General features: G+C 43.7%; 1 protein-coding gene and 1 long non-coding RNA gene across 14 annotated transcripts in view, besides 3 other annotated features; one reads left to right on the forward strand and one right to left on the reverse strand.

Moving 5' to 3' along the window:
* Nucleotides 1-2,552: 2,552 nt before the first annotated feature.
* LOC101927510 (uncharacterized) lies at nucleotides 2,553-8,488 on the reverse strand. 4 transcript variants are annotated; one of them, XR_007065860.1, is made up of 3 exons: nucleotides 8,434-8,488; nucleotides 6,354-6,532; nucleotides 2,553-5,510 (listed from the first exon to the last, which is right to left on the reverse strand). It is a non-coding gene; the product is annotated as an uncharacterized LOC101927510 (long non-coding RNA). The 4 variants fall into 4 exon arrangements; XR_934879.3 differs by lacking the exon at nucleotides 8,434-8,488 and adding an exon at nucleotides 7,293-7,780; XR_001752946.2 differs by lacking the exon at nucleotides 8,434-8,488 and adding an exon at nucleotides 7,176-7,722.
* MSI2 (musashi RNA binding protein 2) overlaps nucleotides 7,343-22,345 on the forward strand; it is a 445,731-nt gene continuing 430,728 nt past the window's right edge. For 8 of the 10 annotated variants that reach the window (XM_047435313.1, XM_047435314.1, XM_005257015.4 and 5 more), the window contains exons 1-5: nucleotides 8,015-8,296; nucleotides 8,590-8,630; nucleotides 8,958-9,039; nucleotides 9,762-9,846; nucleotides 13,643-13,684. In XM_047435313.1, coding sequence (XP_047291269.1) covers nucleotides 8,235-8,296; nucleotides 8,590-8,630; nucleotides 8,958-9,039; nucleotides 9,762-9,846; nucleotides 13,643-13,684 — 312 coding nt within the window. In that variant the 5' untranslated portion in view covers nucleotides 8,015-8,234. Of the gene's footprint in view, nucleotides 7,474-8,014; nucleotides 8,297-8,510; nucleotides 8,631-8,957; nucleotides 9,040-9,761; nucleotides 9,847-13,642; nucleotides 13,685-22,345 lie in introns of those variants that run through there. The other 2 variants (NM_001322250.2, NM_170721.2) reach the window with 2 other exon arrangements.
* Nucleotides 7,570-8,199: a silencer, noted in NCBI's record as "silent region_8747". NCBI's record gives its function as "represses an Ori minimal core promoter by ATAC-STARR-seq in GM12878 lymphoblastoid cells {active_cell/tissue: GM12878}" and the evidence as "EXISTENCE:reporter gene assay evidence [ECO:0000049][PMID:35858748]".
* Nucleotides 10,178-10,267: an enhancer, noted in NCBI's record as "active region_12427". NCBI's record gives its function as "activates an Ori minimal core promoter by ATAC-STARR-seq in GM12878 lymphoblastoid cells {active_cell/tissue: GM12878}" and the evidence as "EXISTENCE:reporter gene assay evidence [ECO:0000049][PMID:35858748]".
* Nucleotides 11,254-11,777: an enhancer, noted in NCBI's record as "NANOG hESC enhancer chr17:55337123-55337646 (GRCh37/hg19 assembly coordinates)". NCBI's record gives its function as "activates a minimal SCP1, AML or CMV promoter by ChIP-STARR-seq in primed H9 embryonic stem cells {active_cell/tissue: H9 hESC(primed)}" and the evidence as "EXISTENCE:reporter gene assay evidence [ECO:0000049][PMID:30033119]".

Here is a 22,345-nt window from a genome sequence, read left to right on the forward strand (position 1 = left end):
TTGAGCTGGTCTTAGGCAGGTTTGCTGGTGTTGGGAACCTGAGGTTTGAGCATCAAAATAGGAAGGAGACTATGCTTAAGGTCCATTAAAAGTGGGAAAATGGAATTCAGAATTCCCATAAAGCTGGAATCCCATCAAGCTAGAACCTCCTGAATCACTAGAGAAATAATCACTGGAAAAATAATCTCCCCAATGTCACAAGGAAACAAGAAAATGTGCCTGTCTTTGCAGGGGTTGAGGGTGGGGAATAAAGGGCTTTACTGAGAATTTGAGATTATAATGTGGTATGGTCCAGGAACCCCAAAGCTGAGAATGAATACAGAAATACAGACCCAATGCCAAACTATACAATGTATGTGGATATAATCCTCCACAAGCAAGATGTAGCAGACACAAAGGTCCCAAGAACCTCAGGTAACAGAACTATCAGGCAGACTATAAAATAAGCAAATTGAAAATTATTAAAGACACAAAGAGGCCGGGCGCGGTGGCTCACGCTTGTAATCCCAGCACTTTGGGAGGCCGAGGCGGGCGGATCACGAGGTCAGGAGATCGAGACCATCCTGGCTAACACGGTGAAACCCCATCTCTACTAAAAATACAAAAAAATTAGCCGGGCGTGATGGCGGGCGCCTGTAGTCCCAGCTACTCGGGAGGCTGAGGCAGGAGAATGGCGTGAACCCGGGAGGCGGAGCTTGCAGTGAGCCGAGATTGCGCCGCTGCACTCCCGCCTGGGCCACAGAGCGAGACTCCGTCTCAATTAAAAAAAAAAAAAAAAGACACAAAGGAACCTTTGACACCATGAGAAAATAACATAACACTCTAAAAAAGGTAGATTTTAAATAGAACTAAATAGAATTTCTAGAAATGACAAATATAGTCACCAAAATGAAAAGCTCAGTGATGAGTTAAACAGCAGATTAGACAGAGTCGAAGAAAGAACCACAGATGGATCTGAGAAAATTGCCCAGGAAGCAGCAAAGACAAAGTGAAGGAAAGTCTGACAGATTCAGAGTGTGCTGGATAGAAGGAGAAGATGCATTATACATTTCATATAAGTACCAAAAGACAATGAGAGGGATACTTCATTTAGAGAATCCCAAGATTATGCATATACAATGAGTATTGAATCAGATAAAGAAGAAGAAATTCATACTTGAATATAGCAGAGTAAAAATGTAGGAAGCCAAAGACAAGGAAAAAGTCTTAAAACCAGAGAGAAAAGACAGATTACCTACAAAGGAATGACAATTAGACTCATAGCAAATGTTTCAGAAATAAAGAATAGGAAGACATGGTATATTCAAAAAAGTGCTGGGGTAAAATAACTGCCAATCTTGAGTATTACACCCAGAGAAATCATCATTCAGGAATGAGAGTGAAATATGACATGTTTGTCTTAGCGGAGAGAGCGTACCACTCAACAATCCCCTGAAAAAAACTAAAGGTATGTTTCAGGGGAAAGGGTCTATATCTAGAAGGAAATTGGTAAATAAGGGCAAATCTAAACGATGAATTGACTGTATATAAAATTACAATAGAGATTAAAATTAGGGGTATAAAAAGTAGGTGGATCTAAAAATAAGCAACAGTAAAACATAATGAGAGGATGTAACTGAAGTTGAATCATTCTTAGCTTATTGGATAGTTCTAGGGCATTTGATTTACTTTAGATCACATGTACAGGTTAAAATTGTAATCACCGAAAGAGTAGAAATAGAATTTACAACTTCCGGCCAGACACAGTGGCTCACGCCTGTAATCCTAGCACTTTGGGAGGCCAAGGCAGGCAGATCAATTGAGGTCAGGAGTTCAAGACCAGCTGGCCAACATGGTGAAACCCCGTCTCTACTAAAAATACAAAAATTAGCTGGGTGTGGTGGTGGGTGCCTGTAATACCAGCTACTCGGAGGCCGAGTCAGGAGAATCGCTTGAACCCAAGAGGCAGAGGTTGTAGTGAGCTGATTGTACCACTGCACTCCAGCATGGCTGACAGAGTGAGACTCTGTCTCAAAAAAAAAAAAAAGGCCTCGGCCTCCCAAAGTGCTGGGATTACAGGTGTGAGCCACCATGCCCGGCCAATAGCATCTCTTATACATTGCTAGTAGGAGTACAAATTGGAACACCACTTTGGAAAACAGCTTAGTATTACCTTGTAAAATTTTACATTCACGTATGTTACGACCCAGCAATTACTCCAAAGAGAAATTCTGATCTATGTGCATCAGAAGGTAAAAATGTTCATAATAACACTGTTTATAATAGCCAAAAAAAAAAAAAAATTCCTGAAAGCAACCCAAAGGCTTGTTTGTGAGAATAGAGAAACTAAACTGTGGCACAGTCACATAATGGAATATTATACAACTGGGAGAAAGAATGAACTACAACCTGATACAAAAATCTAATTTTGTTCCCCCCACCCCCCCAGGGCCCTGGCTAGAGGATCTAATTGATTCTTAATAATTTCATATTGAGTAAATTATCAAGCCTCAGAAATTTTTCATAAAGTTTCAAAACAAAAAGTAAAACAAAACAAATATTAGTCATTGATATGCATGATAAAACTTTTTAAAAAGCGAAAAATCATAACAAATACAAGATTCAGACTGGTGGTTACTTTAGAGGAACAAAATAGGGAGGAACACATAAGCAGATGTTACATAAGTCAAGTCATTGTTTCTGTTTTAGTTCTCTGGTTGAATAGCAGGTTTACAGGTATTCATGATATCAGCAAATAAAATAAAATAGGGCCATGAGTATACACAATGATGATAGTGTGTTATACTAGAGATTGTGACTAATATATTTTTGTGCCCCTAAATTGTGATATTTTGTGATCTTTAAAAATATCAGCAATCACAATAAATGTAAATGGACTAAACTTACTAGTTAGCACAATAATGAACCAGAGCTAACTATATGCTATTTACAGGAGACTGAACAAAAAATTTGGGACATGGAAAGGTTCAAAGTAAAAGGAAAGAGGGAAAGAGAAAGATCTATAAGTGAAGGGCTAATTAAAAGAGTAGTTACATTTATTACAGACAAAGTAGACTTTAAAGCAAAAGGCATTAGGGATAAGTATCTTCTGTGCCAATATTAAAGGAATAATTCCTAGGAAAATAGCAAATCTAAGCTCGTATGCACTGAATAACAAGGCCTTAAAATACACAAAGCAAAAAGTATGAGAAGCAGAAAATGTATAGTTACAGTGGGAAATTTTAACAGTTCTTTTTGATGCACCTGACAACATACTTTTAAAATACAGCAAAATTTGAGAGAATTACAGGAGAAACTGGCAAATCTAGTCATATAGAAATTTTAATGTACTTCTATAAAAACCAACAGGTCAAGCTGACAAAATATTAGTAAGGCTACAGGAAATCTAGACAATATAATTAATAAGTCTGATCTAATAGACCCATATAAAATGCTGTACTTAAAAATTAAGGCATATACATTCTTTTCAAATCTACATGAAATATTTATAAAAATTGACTGCACCAAAGCAAGTTTCAATAAATAACAAAGAATCTGCTTCATATAGATCACATTCTTTGACCTTAATTCAGTTAAGTTAGACGTTAGTAACTAAAGAATAACCTCAAATACCCCTCAAATACACCTGTATTAATTCACTAGTCAAACAAGAAATCGTATCTGAAATCTAATTTTTTTTTTTTTTTAAACAGGATCTCGCTCTGTCACCCAGGCTGGAGTAGTGACATGATCATGGCTCGCTACAGTCTCAACTTCCCAGGCTCAAGTGATCCTCCCACCTCAGTCTCCTGAGTAGCTGGGCCTATAGGTGCATGTTAGCACACCTGGCTAGTTTCTAGAAAAGTTTTCTTTTGCAGAGATGGGGCCTCACTATGTTGCCCAGGCTGGTCTCAAACTCCTGGGCTCAAGTGATCCTCCCACCTTGGCCTCCCAAAGTGCTGGGATTACAGGCATAAGCCATTGTGTCCAGCCTAAAATCTAAACTTTTTTTACCTCATTGGTGATAAAAAGTCTATATATCTTGTGGAATATAGCTTGAGTGGTACTTAAAGTGAAATCTGTAGTCTTAAATGTTAAAATCAGAAAACAGATGGCTAAAAATTAATTACCTAAGGCAACAATTCAAAAAAAAAAAAAAAGAGCAACAGAATAAATCCAAAAAGAGCAGAAGCAGAAGGGAATACTATATGATATATATTAATATTACATTACATATTATATTCTCACAAACTATATAATAGTATATATTTTCTATTGTGCCATATATAACAATATAATATATAATAATATATAAGAACAAAACTTACTGGAACAGAAAAAGAAACAATATTGAAACTAAAGTCTGGTTCTTTGGAAACACTAATAGAAAGTAGAAAGAAAACATTAGTAAAAAAAAAAGATCTCTGGCACAGCTGATCCAGATAAGAAAAAATACATATAAAATGATATTTAGAATGAAAAAAAAACATTATGGATAGATAGAGCAGAGATTAAAATACATTAAGAGATAACTATGAACAGCATTTTGTCAACACATTTGAAAACCTAGATGGTATGGATAATTTCCTTGAAAAACATAGTGTATAAAAATAGATTCAAGAAGAAAACAGAAAACCTGAAGAGATCTACGAGCATTAAAGAAATGGAATCAGTAGTTAAAAATCAACCCACGAAATGTCTATCCCAGACCCAGACAATTTACCTGCAAAACTACCAAACATTCAAGGAACACATAATTCCAATCTTACACACACTGTTCCAGAAAATGAAAAAAGAAGGAACATTTACCGGTTCATTTTATGAGACCAGTATAACCAGACAAAGGCAGTAAGAAAAGGAAAAACTGCAGCCAATTTGACTTATGAACATGAATACAAAAAGAATCCTAGAATGAAATTAAATGTTGGCCATCATTCATTCATTCATCCACTCACTCATTCAGTCAATCATTATTTATTGAGCGTCAACCGTGCGCCAGCAGGCACTGTGCTAGTACATGGAGAGCAGAAAGGCACGGGAGCTTCTGGCTTAGAGGAGATGGGCAATAAAGCAAATGATCATACAGGGTAAGGTACACAGAGGACGTTCTGGTAAGGTAACTGCATATCAAAGGGCATTCGACCCTGTCAGAGAGGTCTGGGAAAGATTTCCAGGCATGTAAGTGGAGTAAGGGTGTATGTGGGAAGACTGTTTTGTAAGCTGTTGCAGGGCCTCAGGTGGGAGATCTGGGATGCAGCAGCAAGAAAGATGGATTTGAACTTGGGCTTCCTTTAGAAAGGCTAAGTGGAGATGTTGAATAGGAAATTGACCAGAGCCTGGAGCTCTTCAGGAAGGGTGGGGCTGGAGATTTCAATTTGAGTGGCATCACCATGTGTTTAAACCCATCCTGGAAGATTGAGTTTGAAGAAGGAAGTGTCCAACATTGTCTTGGGCTGTTGAGACTTTCAGAGGGTTGAGGACTGATATTGTGCTGCTTGAATTCTCCTGATGCAGGGGCTACATTGAGTGAGCTGGAGAAAAAAAATGCATAAAATAATAATAATAATAATAATAATAATAATAATAAGCTATTACAAATAATGTAGAGCAAAGGGGCAGCAAGAGGGAATTTTTTTGGACAATGAAACTGTTCTGCATCTTGATTATGGTGGTGGTTACATGACTCTATACATATGTCAAAACTCATAGGATTACAGACCAAAAAGAGTAAATATTACCGTATATAAATTAAAAATAAATGAGTAAAAACAATGTAGTAATGGAGACTTAAAATCCAGTTCTTTCTAAGCCCTGACTTTGTAACCGCAGCTCTAGCCCCTCTCTGGATTTTAAATCAGTTCTATAAGTGTCAGCTTGTGGAGGTCTATACCAGACAGGAAGGGCCCCCAACTCTCGCCTTGTGAGGGACAGAATAAACACGCAGGCAGCAGAGGCCACACGGCATTGGACTGATGGTCAGAGGGTGGGGGTGGGGTGTAGCCTGGTGAGTTTGGCACCTCTGAGACGCTGATGTATAATGAGGGGATTAGATTAGGAAAGGCCTTTCTACCTAGGATGGCCTGTGGTTCTACTGTAAAAATCCCAAACACAATACAATTAGCTCTGTTGTCTGCATTTTGTTTAGAATAATCAATCATAATAAACAATCATTGTAACAACTGGCTGTTCAACACATGAGACCCCAGATGATTTGGGAAGGAGCTTGGAGTGACAGGAAATGTTTGGGTTTGTGGTTTAAAGCCTTAGAGCACCTTCTCAATATGATTATATTGAGTAGTGATTGATAATAAACACGACTCAGGTTTACAGTGAAAAAGGAACTTTTACAACATTGGTTCACTTCAGCCTCTCACCTTCACCACATCAATCCTGTCAAGGAGGAATTACTGCAATTTAGGGAACAGGGAGACTGAGGGTCTGGTCACTCAAGGCTATGGCTGGTGTTGAGATTTTCCCAATATTCCATTTTTCCAAAGCCCACAGTGGATTTGGTTCAGTTTTGGTGTTGAGTGTATTCCTTTGTCTCCTAATCCTATGAAAATTAATGGAAAAGTGTTAATTGGGCATCAATTCATGCTTAACATTAATCTCAGTATTTGATGAACCACAACTTTATGTTGCCCCTCATGCCATATTAACTCAGTTTATTGCAACAATTTAAAACGATACAGATTTAAAACAATATGGGTAATTGTATCCGTATTGTTTCAAATGCCCCATAAATTGAAACCAGCCCGAATTTGGGCAGTCTGGAATCTGCCGGAGAAACTTTCATGCGATGCCTTTGGAAGGCTACAGACATTGTCTTTTTGGAGTTTTCAGTGCATGAAGGTATGAAACCGCATTTATTAAGCACCTACTGTATGCCAGAACCCGTGCTGCACAATACTACTGCTGCTAAGGTGGGAGTGATTCTGAAGCCTTCTGCCACCCTAGCTACCTCTGCAGGTCGTGAGGGGTCTTGGGCTATTTCAGTATCATGCACTTTACTATCCTGGCATACAAAGGCTGGGTGAGAAATAAAATATATAACGAACGGATTACACAGGGGTTTCCTGAAATAACCACCCTTCCCATCCATCCCAGAGACACCCCAAAAGTACTTCTCGTTATATACAAACATTTGCTTTGAACCTCAATCATGTGACCTTGACTCCTATAACCTATCTTATTACATTTTTAAAACACTGTATGATTAACGCGGAAACCCTTTCTTCGGCACTTTCTCGCCACTGGAATCGCGTCAGTTTCTCAAAGTTCCAAAATAACCTTTCCCGGGCACGGATTGGTACCTCTACTGGGGAAGGGCGGGGAACCGCGCAAGACGTGCCGGTGTGGAGCCAGAGCCAGAGAGAACTTCCAGCGCAAAAGGAAAATAAAACTTGTGGCTGGTGTTTGTGCAGGAGGGTCTCCGCCATCCTGAAGCCCCCCGATCCTGGGGCGTCTCGGGGGCCGCCAAAGGAGCGCCAGGGTGTGGGTTTGCTCCCGACGTCCTTGACCTAAATTTCTGAGCGGTGGCTGGAAACAGGGCACAGCGGAGGGCGGGCGGCTGGTGCCATTCCCGGATCTCGGCGGCAGGGGCCGGCAAACTTGAATGGAGAGGGCGAACTAGAGAGGGTGGGGGGCGTCTTCTCCCAGGTCCGGGTGAGGAGCCGCAGCAAGCTCCCCGCGCCTCCCCTCCCCCGATCCACCCGCCCCCCGCAGCCCATGTGATCCAGGGAAGTCGGGGTGCGCTCCCCCTCGCCCTGCGCCCTGCCGGCCCGGAGGCGGGGTCCCCTCCGCCCGCGGGGTTCGCGCGCCACCCTTGTGGGTCCGGCCGTGGGGGGCCGAGTGTGCGCGCGCGGGCAGGCGGGGGCCGCACGGGGGTGCGTGACGTCACCGGCATTGGTTACACGACGTTCTAGAACTCCGCCCCACGTGCGCCGGGGAGGAGGGGGAGGAGGAGGAGGAGATGGGGGTGGGGAGGAGGAGGGGGAGAGGTGGGGATGGGCCGGGGGGGCGGGGACGGGGGGGTGTGCGAGGCAGCGGGGCTGAGCTAAGCCGAGCCCACGTGTGACGGCTCTCGCCGCTGCCCCGGCTCCGCCGCTCGCAGAGAGATTCGGAGGAGCCCGGGCGGGGGGGAGGAGGAGGGGGAGGAGGGAGCGGAGATCTCGGGGCTCGGAGCCGGCCGCCGCTCCGCTCCGATCGCTGTGGGGCTTGGTTTTTTGGGGGTGGGGGGGCGGGGGGGCTCAGATATGGAGGCAAATGGGAGCCAAGGCACCTCGGGCAGCGCCAACGACTCCCAGCACGACCCCGGGTAAGTTTCCAGCCGCTGCCCACCGCGCCGCCTTGGGCTCGCTCTCCTTGCAGCGGCGGGGACGGCGGTGCGCGGAGCCGGGCATCTCCCGCGCCCCCCCGCCTCTCCCGCGCGCCCCCCCCGTGGAAGTTACACACCTTTGGATTGCATTTCGCCGTCACCTTCTCCCCCACCCCACCTCCCGGCTCTCGCTCGCTCGCTCCCCCCCGCTTTCCTTTTAGCTTTTGTAAGTTACACGTCAAAATGGCCGATCTGACATCGGTGCTCACTTCTGTTATGTTTTCTCCCTCTAGTAAAATGTTTATCGGTGGACTGAGCTGGCAGACCTCACCAGGTAAGGGAGGGAGGGGGGGACGCCTGGGTCCCCCCCTTCTTGGCTTCTTTATTGCTCTTTGTTATCCCGGTGTAGGAGCCCCCCCCCCCCCGCCATTGGCTCCCCACTTCTCCTGTGCAAGGTTATTTTTTTTAAATAGCAAATCCTTTCTGAGCCCTCTATGCGACCTCTGTTGCCGAATTTCCCCCGCGTGTGCAAAAAATGCAAAAACAAAACAGAATAACAACAGAAAACTACTTTTGGATTTTGTCCTTGATCAAAATTTGCATTGCTTTTTTTTTCCACACCTTCTCTCCCCCCCCCATCTCTCTCTTTCTCTCTCTACAGATAGCCTTAGAGACTATTTTAGCAAATTTGGAGAAATTAGAGAATGTATGGTCATGAGAGATCCCACTACGAAACGCTCCAGGTAAACCATTCCCTTCTGGATTTTGTCTTTATTTTAGAACAAAGTTTAAGTTTTATTTTTGGAGGTGTCTTCGGAAGTAGCTAAGCGGATTAGAATGGGGCTCAGGCGCGTGGCTGATCTCGAACGGCGCTCTATACCACCCCCACCGCCCCCTAGTAACCCCAGAGGTTATTGTTAATTGGAGCTGAACTCTGGATACAGAGATACCCATCTCTCTGCTTTTAAGTCATTTTCCCGTCGCTTCTTTTTCTCTGTTTAAAATGACATTCAGCTTCATTTACTTTCGCATAGTTTTTTTTTTTCTTTTGATCTTAATGTGTGTTTCCCCCACACTCCCAGCTCCCCAAACTCTTAAGATCCCTCTTAGAAAGATGGTGGTAAATCTCTTCTAAGTGCCGGGCTTTCTTCGGAATAAAACAAAGCGTTAAGAAAGGGAAGGGGAGGAGGAGAGGAAACTGAGGTGGCCAAAGAGTGGAGGCACCAGCATTTTCCAAGTTACCTCCACCCTCCCTGCCCCCGTTCCACTTCCCCCGTTAACCTTGATGTTTTTTCTTGCGAGGTGGAGGGCTGTAGGCAGGAGGGGAATTGGAGGAGGGGAGTGGGAGGTGGGGGTGCGTGGGGGGCAACTTTTGCTCCTCATTCAGCCTTAGGTCTCACTCCTGGTTGCTTTCAATGGTGTCACATTTTCTTGTTTGTTTTTCTCCCTCTTTGTCTCCTTTCAGAGGCTTCGGTTTCGTCACGTTCGCAGACCCAGCAAGTGTAGATAAAGTATTAGGTCAGCCCCACCATGAGTTAGATTCCAAGACGGTAGGTTGCTTTTTGTTGTTGTTGTTCGCCCCTTTTCAGGAACGATCTGGGCATTGACAGCCCCATTTAAAGGGACAGTGCCTTCTTTTGCTTCTGTGCTAGAACTGGGTAGTTTTAAACTGAGCTAGCGAGTTGGCTCAAAAGTTTGCTGCTGTGGCTGGCTTTGGGGTTTTCTTTTTAGAGCCTGTCCCATTGCAGCTTCAGAGGCTGCCAAGGTTAGGCTTGGGGAGGAGAGGGTTCGGCTCCTGGAGAGTCTGCCTTCCCGGCCTGGGGACTGTGCAGAGAAACTCCACCAGAGAGCAAATGCAACTTTTCTTTGTCAGCCAAGCACAGCACGCGTTACCAACTGTGGCTGTGGGGATCAGCTTTGAGAAGGCACAGCCTGCTTTGTGGCCAAGGGGGACAGCAGTGGGAAGGAGGGGAGAGGGCGCTAATTACAGGTCCAGGCAACAGGTTTCTCTTGGGGCACTTGGGATTTGGAATGTGCTTTGGGAAGGGAAGGGGACGCTGGCGGAGCTGAGCTGGGCATCCACTGGGGTGACTCCAGATGGCATGAAATCTAAGGCTGATAAGGCCTGGGGGTTTCAAAGTGATTTTTTTTTCCTTCCTTTTCTTTCTCAGATCCTTTCATTTGAGTATGGGTACTTTTATACATCACAAGTTTTAAAAATCCAGAGTAGAAGGGGGAAGAGTCTCCAGGCAGAGGTCAGAAGGGGAAGGGAAGAAAGAGTGTCTGTATATAACAATACATTTAATGGGAGGGGGAGTGTGCAGTGTTTTATTTAGCCCCTGTGTGGGCTTCCTGCCTCTCCTCCCTTCCCTTTATGTCTACCAGAGTTTCCCCACGGTTTTTATTAATATATATCTGCCCCAAACAGAGGCCTTAAGATGACATTGGGCTGTAGTGCTGGGTTGCATGGAACTTCACTCCTCTGTGATGGGGTAGTGGGACAAGGCCAGAAATGGGGCTCTACTTCCATCCGCCTCTTATGAAAGTGAGCAAGACATTCCCTACCTCTGGGTCTCAATTTCCTCTTCTGTAAAATAAGTGGACCAAGGTGATCTTTCAAGCCCCTTTTGGCTTTAACATTGAATGGAAGAGAAGGAAAGCAAATAAAGAAACCTGGCAACCTTCGGTGCACTTGAATTGATTTTGCAAATTCACCCTCTTTCTCTGATCAAAGAGATCAGGAATGCGTGCCTTCTCCTAAGAAAGAAACCCACCTACACTCTTAGTTGCTTTATTAATTGTCCTGGACTTGTCATAGCTTGCATGCAGCCCAGCCTTTTGTACTTTTAGATAATTTAATTTCAGAAATGATTTGTAGGATGATAACAGATGTCTGAAAAATTTTTCTCTCCTTGATTTCGTGGCTAGCCATTTCAAAAAGCTAGTGAAATTAAAGAGGAAAATCTTTTCAAGGCAAATTTGGGAATTTATCATCCACCCCCTCTTGCTACCTGGGTGGGAGAAACAGTATTTGGTTTCTGTGGTGGCTGGTGGGTCATATTCCTCTGTATCAGGTGCAAAGCCTGCAGTTTCCCTCTCTGATTGTTTATAGACATGTTTTGGTCACTATTATTTAGTGTAACCTAGCTTTTGACTTTGTTTCAACGTTCAGTGCAGGAGGCAGAAGCGGTTGGTTTATTGACATGGAAACGAGGATCTTGTTTACTGTTACCTTAAAAGCTTTGTTTAGGTAACGGCCATTCACATCCAAAATAGTACCCTAGTCTTTTCCTAGAGGACTTGTAGATACAGTAAGTAGAGCTGTACCTAACTAACTAATGTTTTAATTTTTGGTAGTTTTCTTTTTTGTTTGTTTTTTAAAAAATAGTTGACAGGGATGTGCAAAAGGTTGGGATTTGCCATGCTTAACTTGACCCTTCCTCTCCTTCAGAGATCTCAGCGTGTAAACTTTGCACACTGAGGAACTTCGATCATGATATAATGCTCTGATACGGCCACACACCATCCAGGAGTTCTGAATTGGCTTTTTCGTTTTGTGATTTAAATTTTCTTTAGTACTTCACTTTCTTCATTGCACCTTACTTCTTCCAGCTCCTGGCACCTCCCTCAACATACCCCACACCTGTTACCCCATAAACAAGGTGATTTCTGATTGCAATTGTGTGCCGGCCAACTAAAAAAAACACCCTCTGGGGAGTATTTATAAAAAGACACCTCTGTCTTACGTACGTCAACAGAATGGAAAATCCACACCTGTTGTATTTCTCTTGTAGACAAGCGCTAGTCAGTGCTGGACACACCTGTAGATGCAGTAATGTTAATCTTTATGAAAGGGTAGTTTTCTAGATCAGAGATTTTTGTCTATTTTAGTTTTTGAAAAGTAATCTCTCATTTCTCAGGTGATGTTTAAAGGTAGGGAATGCAATGCAGACTTTTATTAGGTCTTTAAGCCCCCGTAATAACAGCAGGAAATCCTCATATGTCTTTCTGGCTGGGACCCTAGGTGATGTAAGTCAGGGAACAAATGAACTATCCTCCGTGCTTCCCACTCCCCACCCCCACCTCCCTACTTTCCTCCACAGCATTACTCTTTTCTCCCCTGCTCCTTCTCATGGCAGAAGTGAAAACAAAGCTCAGATTTACTTTTTAAAAGGAAAACATTTTAATATGAAAGCCAAAGCCTGGAAATAAATAACTGGTAGCATGTTTATACTATCTGTGTTACATTTTTACCCAAAGATTTGTGACATTTAGAAATTCAATGAAAACCGACAACGGGAATATTTTCACATTTCTTTCCTCCTCTTTTTATCTGTGCAGTCACTTTTTTCCTCCCTCACATCAGCCTGTTAGATTCACATGCTTCCAGGAGAACTGTTCTGAGCTGTACAGCTAGACCCTGATTGAGCATCATGCGTTTTGCAAGTGTGTGATTTGGACTGGAGGATGTTTTTCCACTCGGATTGAGGTTGGGGTAGGGGAATTCCCTACTTGTTGCACTAGATTCTGACTACTTCTTGTATTCAGTAACTTTTTTTTTTTTTTGGTGCCCTCCCCATGATGGGATTTCTTTTCTAATTTGGGTTTAGGTTGCTTATAGATTTTTACTCCCTGTTGTTTTTAAAATCCAGGTGGATTTAGCTCACATGCTTCATTTTCTTTACTTCAAAAAATTATTTTTTATCTTTTGAGGTATAGCTACAGAACAGATGATCTTTTTGGTTAATCCTGGGTAACTTTACTTTTGCTAAAATGAATTAATTAACTCAAGCAGAGCACTGTGTTGGATGTCTGTGGGGAGTTTTTGGATGTTGTTGATTTAAAAAATTTTTGGAAGCTCCTTTCCCTCCTGTGTTGTTTAGTTATCATCAGGGAGAAGAAATACCATCCAATTACCTACTGCTAGAGAATACTTACATTTAATTTTCAGGTTATGATTTTTTTCCCAATGATAATGATGCTCCCATCTTTTCTCCCAGCCACGCATAGCAAATTAGATGTAGATACCATTTAATATTCAGTGTCTGGAAGAAGAAGCCCTTGCCTAAATAAGAATTACATGAGATCTGGTTTATTAAGAGCATCACACACTGAAATGCATGGTGGGTCATTTCAGAAAGGCTAGCTAGCTATGTTAGTTACCTGATCTGTTGGAGGGATGGTTAAAGTTGAGATCAAAGTTTAAGAAACTTTTGAGTTGCCTGAGAAGTTACTAAAAGCTGGATTATAAGCCTGAGAAATGAGTGATTAATAATTAGGTGATTAATCATATATTTTTTCCTTAAAGTACTTTATTGACTCCTGCTTTTCTATTTTTTTTCCCAGATTGACCCCAAAGTTGCATTTCCTCGTCGAGCGCAACCCAAGGTAAGTAGGAGAATAAACAGTAGGATTTTAGCACTCAGAGATGATTGCCAAGAATTTCAAATTTCAAACAGCATTGGCCATGAACTGTTGAAGCCTGGTATTCACTGTTCCTTCGGGGTATCAGGACAGGCTGGGCAAGTAGTCCTGTGAGATAACCATGCGTCTCTAAGTTAGCCATCCCAAGGTGGCTTCTGAACATCCACCTGGGGGCAGGGACAAGTCTGATGCTTAGTGGGAGGACGTGTTTCCATCGACTGCAGTATTTTTTGCAAGGATTCTATTTGTTTTTTAAGCATTTCCAATATCATATCAGGAAAAGTCGAACATTTCCTTGTGACTCTTTCGGAGGGTACTCTTTGAGGCTTTACAACTTGGAGTTAATGCAGAGGAGTAGAGTTTGACTAAACAGCTGATCCTTTCTTGGAAAAGACAACTTCTTAGGCCCATAAAGCCTTAAATCTGGGAGGGCAAGCAGTGGATATCTTGGTTTTAGGTTGGTTGGATAAGTCAGGGCATACTTGAAACCAACAGTGCTTCTTATTTGTGCAAGTGCTGGTGCCTGGGTGGAGAAGTCCTGAAAATGTTGTAACCTTGTAGGAGTGGCACTACAAGACTTGCTTAAAGAATTGAGATAGGGCTTCACTTTTTTAGAAGTGTGTCGTTAACATAGTTTTCACTGAGCTTGCCAGGTGTGGCTATGAGAACACAGTTGCTTGAAGCCTAAGGTTAAATTGGAAGGGCTTATGGCTTACATGTTACATTTACACTTTTTAGTTACTATTTTTCTTCCTTATGTAGCACTGGAAGAAATGCTTTTTATGTATCTTCGGGATTTGTCATTCTTTTAGGGAAAGGGGAAAAGTTGAAGCTTCTAAGTCGGAAAAGGTTGTGGCTTTAGCAAATTCAGTTTATTTCTTTATGCACAGTCTCCCAGAAGTGGAACCTTTTAATCGTGTAAAGAGAGGAATGGTTTTGCACATTAGTATAGAAAAAGTTGGTGATTGTGATGGTACTTTGAGAATTTCAGGTCTGGGGCATACCACTTGATTGATTGATTCCTTCCTTCCCTCCTTCTTTCTCTCCCTCCCTCCTTGTTCTCTTCTCCCTTTTTTAAAGATGGAAACACAACTTTTTAAGTAAATACAATGAAATATTTTCTTCAGGCATTTTTTTGTAATGCTTAAGCAAATGATAGGAATTAATGATTAGGTTATTTTTGTACTTAGCACAAACTTTGGAATTGCCCTTATTGTTTTAGTTACTTCCCAAACTGTCTGTGATCCTTCACATTTCAGAGGGCTTCCCAGAGTTAGCAGTATTTCCTGGGTTTGGAGGAATTGCTGTTTCTTCCATAAGTGTGAATCTTCAAATTTCCAGGTTAGTCATTTGATCACTCAGAGCTTGGATCAGATTACCCAAGAGGGAAGCTGGAAAAATCCCTTACTTGGTAAAACCATGGGTTTGACCTGTTTTTCTCTCCCCTTTGTTGTCCCCCTTCCTTAACTTTGTTTTTAAATGAGAAAAGCAATATTTCACTTTAATACACTCTGCAGTGATGCATTCAACTTGAAAACGAGACAGAATGTTTCTCAAACTTGTCAAAGTGTGCATTCCTTTCCCAACCCTCAACTCCACATCTGGAATGTTTGTAGGTGAATTAACATGAAACCACTTGGGGGAGAACATCTTTCCATGAATTCTAGGGATTTAATAATAACACCTTACTGTGTATGACATACTTCACTTTACGGAGGACTTGGCTGTTCATTATCTCCATCTGAATTCCATCTCCTGGGGCATTTGGCTGTTGTCCCTAACCTTCTCTCAGTCTCAGTGTGCTCATCTGTAAAGTAGGAGTGATGACATAGCTCTCCCAGAAGGTTTTTGTGTAGAGTAAAAGAGCATGGTCTGCGACAAAGGTCTTCGTCATTGTCATTATTTTTCTTGTCGGTTTTCTCATCATTGTTCCGGTTGTTGTTTGCAAGTGGGACAGCCTGGGTTCGGATGCTGGTGGTGCCACTCCTTAGCTGTGTGAATTTGAACAGGTCGTTTAACTTCCTTGAACCTTCGTTTTTCCATCTCATAGAGTTTTTCTGCAGATTACGTAAATTAATAAAGGTAAAGGGACTGAAAAAAAAAAGACGTTGCATGGTAATGCCATAGAAGCGTTAACCTGCTATCTTATTTATTTATTTATTTATTTTTGAGATGGGATCTCACTGTGTTGCCCAGGCTGGTCTTAAACTCCTGGGCCAAGCTATCCTCCCACCTCTGCCCCCCAGAGTGCTGGGATTATAGGCGTGAGCCACTGTGCCTGGCCAACCTGCTATTTTTTTCTGCCATTTTTATTAAGTCCTCACATCAATCCTGTGAGAGGTTGAGTAATAATAATGATACTAGTTGAATTTATATGCCAGGCACTATTGCAGAGACTTTATTAATCCATTTAATTCTCATGCAGCCCTATGAGGAGAGTACTAGTATGAGCTCATTTTGTAAATGAGGAAACGGAGGCACAGATGGATGTCCAGGAGCCATACCCAGGCAACCTGGCTGTAGAACTGGGCCCTTCACCACTGTGCCATGCTGTGGGGGTACCTCAGGGGATGGCCCCTCTGCTATGCGACAGGAGATGGGCTCGGAGAGGTCAGCGGGCTGTGCTGAGGGAACCATAGCCAGAGGCCCAGTACTTTGAAGTTCTGCGTTCCTGGGCCTAGGTGATTTGCCTTGCCCCATCATGTTATACCAGTGTGTGACACTGTCTTGTATCTTTTGATCTGACCCCTCAGGCCATCTTTTCAGATGGTTCTGGAGTTACTCAACCCCAGTGAGGCAACAGAGTAAATGCCAAGGTTGTATGGTGGTTGGGAATTGGGACAGGGTGGGGAGAAAGTGTCTTCCCTGTCTACGGTTATTTTCCAATAGAATTTGAGCCTGGCCACCGGGATTTCAGACTGGAGTTAGCGCTGGGGGCCAAAACCCAGGAGCATAGAACTTTAAGTCGACCCTGATTTATTTATCGATTATCTCCCTTCAATAAAACTTCTGTGTTTTTGTGTTCAGGTCACAGTGGCAGAGGGAACCCTGCCCCTCCTCGTGGGATGGGCGAGGAGCTTGTAAATGATATGTCAGTGTGTGTTTCAGTTAAAATGAGTTTCTCTGCTTTCTGGCTGTCCCTCCTTGCTAACGCTCGCCAGAGAAATATTCCGTGGAGGTGTTAAAACAAGACTAGTGGAAAGAAATGGTAACTTAAAAAGAAAGAAAATCCATGGCAGTGAAGAACAGATTTCATATTAGTACTGTCATAATATTCTCTAATGTATCATATAAATAAAAATCTGTTTAGACCAGAATTTTAATAAGTCACCAAAGGAAGGTTTTGAATCCTACAGTTTATGTATCCCCCTTTGCGATGTAAATGTTCACATCTCAAGTGAAGTAGAGTGGGGAGACGCTTCGGAGACTAGAGGCTGTTAATTAGTGAGGTATATTTTGATCAGGGCAAGAAGACTGGTTCATTCTATATCTTCGTATTTCTCTGGATGATTATTTCATTTTGTAAAATATGTAAGAGTTCCCCCCCAGCCCCTTATCTTTTTAAAAATTAAAATGGTCATGCTCTTCTAAAAAGATGACTTAATTTGAAGGCTTTGGAGACATGAGGATGATGGGGATCCATCACTCCCTGTTCTTTGCTCCCTTTGGACTGGAGTGTTGGCTGTCTGGAAGAGTTTTGCTTGAGCTCGTGGGTTATTTTCTTCTATGTGGAGGAACCAAGAGACTCTTTAGCATCTTTCAGCAAGAGCGAGGTCTGGGTGTACTCACCATCTGTCTTAATTATCCTTGTGTATAAGAAAACATTCCCATCTTTTCCCAATTGCCATTTCCTTCCTTAACTTTTAGAGGCCAGAACCTCATCTGTTGATGCAGGGAGATCTCACTTCTTTAACCTATTTCTAGTTGCCTTCAGTCACAGCGGGGTGGCCAGGGGCGAGTCACTTAAGCCTCCCCAAGGCTCAGTTTCCTCCTTTGTAAAAGAGGGAGAATTATAGTACTCACTGCCTGCAGTTAGTTGTTTGGAGGATAAATGCAAAATTCTTCACTGGGAGTCTGGCATAAAACAGCACTCCGCAAATGTCTGTTGATCTTATTATTATAGAATTATTATTTTTATTATTATTATTTTTAAGACGGAGCCTCACTCTGTCGCCCAGGCTGGAGTGCAGTGGTGAGATCTTGGCTCACTGCAACCTCCGCCTCCCGGGTTCAAGCAATTCTCCCGCCTCAGCCTCCCGACTAGCTGGGATTACAGGCACCTGCCATCATGCCTGGCTAATTTTTGTATTTTTGTAGAAATGGGGTTTCACCATGTTGGCCAGGCTGGTCTTGAACTCCTGACCTCAGGTGATCCACCTGCCTTGGCCTCCCAAAGTGCTGGGATTACAGGCATGAGCCACCGTGCCCGACCAGATAATTATTTTAATAGAATAAAAAAAAGTACAATGGTGAAATGACTGAAGGAAAATCTTAATTGGAATGTAAGCTCCCTGAGGGCAGGGAACTGTTGGTGGCTGCTGTTTGGTAACTAAATGAACGAACTGAGTCCAGCCTGCTTTTTTCACCGTGGAGGTAGCTGCTACCCAGTAAAGTTACGTTGGTTGCTTCAGATCCACACTTAGGTTGTAGCAGGGCTGAGCTAGCAGTCAGGTTTTCCTGTTCCTGTCTTGTCCTCTGACGTGGCTTCAGGGCCCTGGAAGGTTCTCTGCTAAGCACGCATCCAGATGGGTGCAATGGCAGCCCGAGCGTGTACACGCACACCTCCTGTTCTGGGGGAGTGGTTTCTTGGCAGCTTCTCAAGGGCGAAGGGTGAGTTTTCGGCATCTGGCCTTCCCTTGCTGCTGTGGGTCGGGTCATTCTAGCATCTTGCCATCTTGGATGATCTGCAGCTGTCATCTCGGCAGCCACCATGAACTGGCCTGCCAGTGGGTTTTCTCGTTCCCAGCGAGGATGTGGTGGTGTGTCTGCAGCCCTTTTCCACAGCAGCGAGGACCTGGGAGGATTAGTGGCTTAGCTTCTTTCTTGTCGGTGAGCACCGCTCCTTCCTATGTTCCAAGTCAGTAGCAGGTGTCAGCTTAAGGAGGAGGGGCACCTTGTCCTACAAATGTCCTTTCCCTGGATTTTGCCGTTCCTCACATGCTTTCGTTTCATTGTTGAGGTCAGTCTCCTAGGACTATGAAGCTCCTGTGTTCTTTGTCAGATGATTTTTGGCAGACAGGTGAGCCTCCTCTGCTGCCCGGGAAGGGAGGAGAAGGCAGTCTCGGAGGAACCAGCTGACCATCTCAGGTGCCGCTTGGGGCAGCGTCCATTCTTTGTGTCCTATTTTGTATTTTTAAACCCGGACAATCTTCGGCCGAAAACCCCGAGAACACACAGGGGAGATGTAGTTCATCATCTCTCTCTTCCCGTTTGATCTAGTGTGTTCATTTAACAAGAGCTGGGTTAATCCTTGTTCATTGCCAACTGTATGCGTGCACCCACTTTTGGAGGGATTCAGGAAATACTCGGTGCTTCCTGATGTGCATGGAACACAGTCTCGACGTCTTAGCTTGGTGCTTAATTAAGGTCCTTCAAAATCTGTACCAGGGTCTTTTCCACCTTATCTCTCAATTCTTCTAGTTTTTGCTGCCTTGAAACTGAATGCTCACCCTTCTTTGAGAAACCTGTCCTTTTGCAGATTTCCCTCTCTGCACTGCCCTTCCCTTCTCTGTACACAACAGACCCTCTTTGAAAGCCCAGCTTCATCATTATCTTTTCCACGAAGCTGTCCCTGCCCCTTTGTGGAAACAGTCATACTTCTTTGGATTTCCACAGCACTTACCTTTTCTTTGGTTAAGCCCCTTCCAACAATAATAAATTAGCAGAAACTTGTGGAGCACATACATCTGTTGCATGTTGTGCTAGACATTCACTCATTCATTTATTCACCAAACAAGCACCGACCGTTTGCCAGATACTGTGCAAAATTCGGGGGATAGTGTGGAGAATATGACAAAGTTCCTGCTGTCACCAAACTTTTGCTCTAGTGGGGCAAATAAGCAGTGAGCAAACAGATAAGTTTATGACATGCTCTCAGGTGTGATCACCAAAGCCAGGGAGGAGCGATGGCGGGAGTGGGGTGGACCATATCTATGGTACAGTCAGTTGCCACTTTCAGTAGTTCAGAAATTATTTACCAAGTTTCTGCTCAGCACCGGGGATTGCGTTAGGTACTTTGTTCTGAGTTTTATGGTATTTAGGTTCATGCCTTATCTTCTCCATTGGACACAAGCATATTTTACTAATAATTAAAAAAAAAAAAAACCCAGCCAGGTGCGGTGGCTCATGCCTGTAATCCCAACACTTTGGGAGGCCGAGGCGGGTGGGTCACGAGGTCAGGAGTTCAAGATCAGCCTGGCCAAGATGGTGAAACCCCGTCTCTACTAAAAATACAAAAATTAGCCAGGCATGGTGGCGGGCACCTGTAATCCCAGCTACTCGGGAGGCTGAGGCAGAGAATTGCTTGAATCTGGGAGGCGGAGGTTGCAGTGAGCCGAGATTGCGCCACTGCACTCCAGCCTAGGTAACAGAGCGAGACTCCATCTCAAACAAACAAACAAACAAACAAACAAAAAACACCCCATCCTTAGCCCTTACTTCTGCACTTTTGTACATCGTGGACTTCCATTTAGGTAGAGCGAATGAAAAATGCCAGAAGAAACACAGTTCTTGTCTTTAAGAACATCATTAGCTCCAGGTTGGGAGGAGGGGGTGACCTGTGATACTGGAAAGGGTGGGATAAGCACAGTAGAAGAGGTAGGAACAGCATTTTGAGGAAGGGCAATCTAAGCTTCTAGGAAGAGGTGGTCTTTGCCCCAGGTCTTGAAGATCAGATAGGAAGGAATAATGGCAGGAATGCTGTTCTTCCTTCCGGCTAGGCACTAGGAAAGGTCAGGGTGTGCAGGTGTTGCAAAGGGTATGTGCTGCAGAGTGGCCTGGCATGAGGCTTGCAAAGTAGGTTGGAGCCAGTTTGTAGAAGGCCTCAAGGGCCCAATAAGGCAAACTGACAGGTGCTGTGGGGAACCTGTTGTGTGTCTGTGCGGGTGTATGGGGATGCCCTGTGGAATGTTCTGAGCTCATTCAGACCCATATAGAAGCTGGGGTCACTGATAGGACCATGGCGGATGCTGTTGCCTGGAGAACTTCCAACCTGGGCTTGTGGCTTAAGCTTAATGCAGGCTATGTTCTCTCTGGCCAGAGTCTCTCTTGCCATAGACTCTTCTTCTTCAGGAGTGATGCTCTTAGCAGATGCCACCTCTACCTTTGGGGTGTGTGGCTGCTTACAAAGAGCTCTCTCATTCTCTTGTTTCTACCTTCTGTTCTCTCCTCTTTTCCTCCTTAACAAGGGACCATGATATAGATACAATTCCAAAGTCCTGTACTTTGTCCTTGTTTAAGCCGTGATCGTGACCTCACCATGTGTAGACAGTGAGATGTCATTTCTCAATGTGGACATCACAGATTGCCTGTATAACCCCAGTGTGTGTCCCGTGGCTCAGAGCAGTCTGACCTGTGACTTCATAGATGGTATCTGCTTGGGGTCGCCTTTGGCTGAGTGTCTGCTTGGTGAAGAATATGCATTTTTGGAATCATGATCTCTGCTTTCCGTGTGGTGTGAAGTGCGCAGGTGTGGTCTTGGGGCTGAGCACCCTGTGGTATGTTGTAGCAGCAGCCTCACTTGGTCGGTCCAGCTGGGACAGTTGTCCCACTGGGTCCAGAGTAGGATAAGATATTTTCCATTCTCCCTTCTTTTGAAGATAGCACCAGGCTTCCAACCATCTGGAATGTTAGCCTTAGGGTGGATGCCTGGCTGCTATCTTGCTTTATTTTAGCTGTGAGATTTTGAATAGTTAAAAAGAAAAATCCTAATTCAGAATAATGACTGTCATTTATTGTGAGTTTATATGTTATAGGCATAGTACCGAGACTATACACTTAGTCTTCTTTAATCCTTACAACAATCCTTTGAAATAGTTGGTATTATCTCCGTTTGACAGTGGGTAAACTGGGGCCTGAGAGGGCAGACAGCTTTCTAGAACCATAGAACTAGTAAGGTTCAGGGTTGGCCTTTGGACCAAAGTCTCTCTGAATCCCAAGGCTTTGTTCTCCTCTCTGCTAAGCCTTGCTGCATCCAACATGAGTGGGCAGAGTTGAGGTTGCCACTTTGCCTGATGGCTATAAAATGCTCAGGCTGAGGAATAGAATTTGTGATAGTCTAGCTGGAAAGCTTCAGGTTAATTTTTGTTACCTGTTTTCTGAGAGCTTGTTTAGCATAGGTAAGTGCCACTTACCAGCTATGGCATTTTAGACAAGTCACTTAGTGGTTTTGCACCTCCACTTGTACCTGTTAAATGGGATAGCAACCGTCCCTCCATTGTAGAATTGCTAAGGGTAAGATGGACTGAGCTACTGCATATGAATGGCCTAGGGTGATAGCTGCATGTTGTGGGTACAGTATAAGCATTCATCATCTGTTACTGTCCCCGAAAAATGTCCCTGCCCCCATCATCAGGGGACCTTATAACCGAGCAGCTCGTGGGTTGATTAGCACTGTTGCTCCTTTCT

The sequence above is a fragment of the Homo sapiens genome, chromosome 17 (genome assembly GCF_000001405.40).
Source record: "Homo sapiens chromosome 17, GRCh38.p14 Primary Assembly".
NCBI classification, from domain to species: domain Eukaryota; kingdom Metazoa; phylum Chordata; class Mammalia; order Primates; family Hominidae; genus Homo; species Homo sapiens.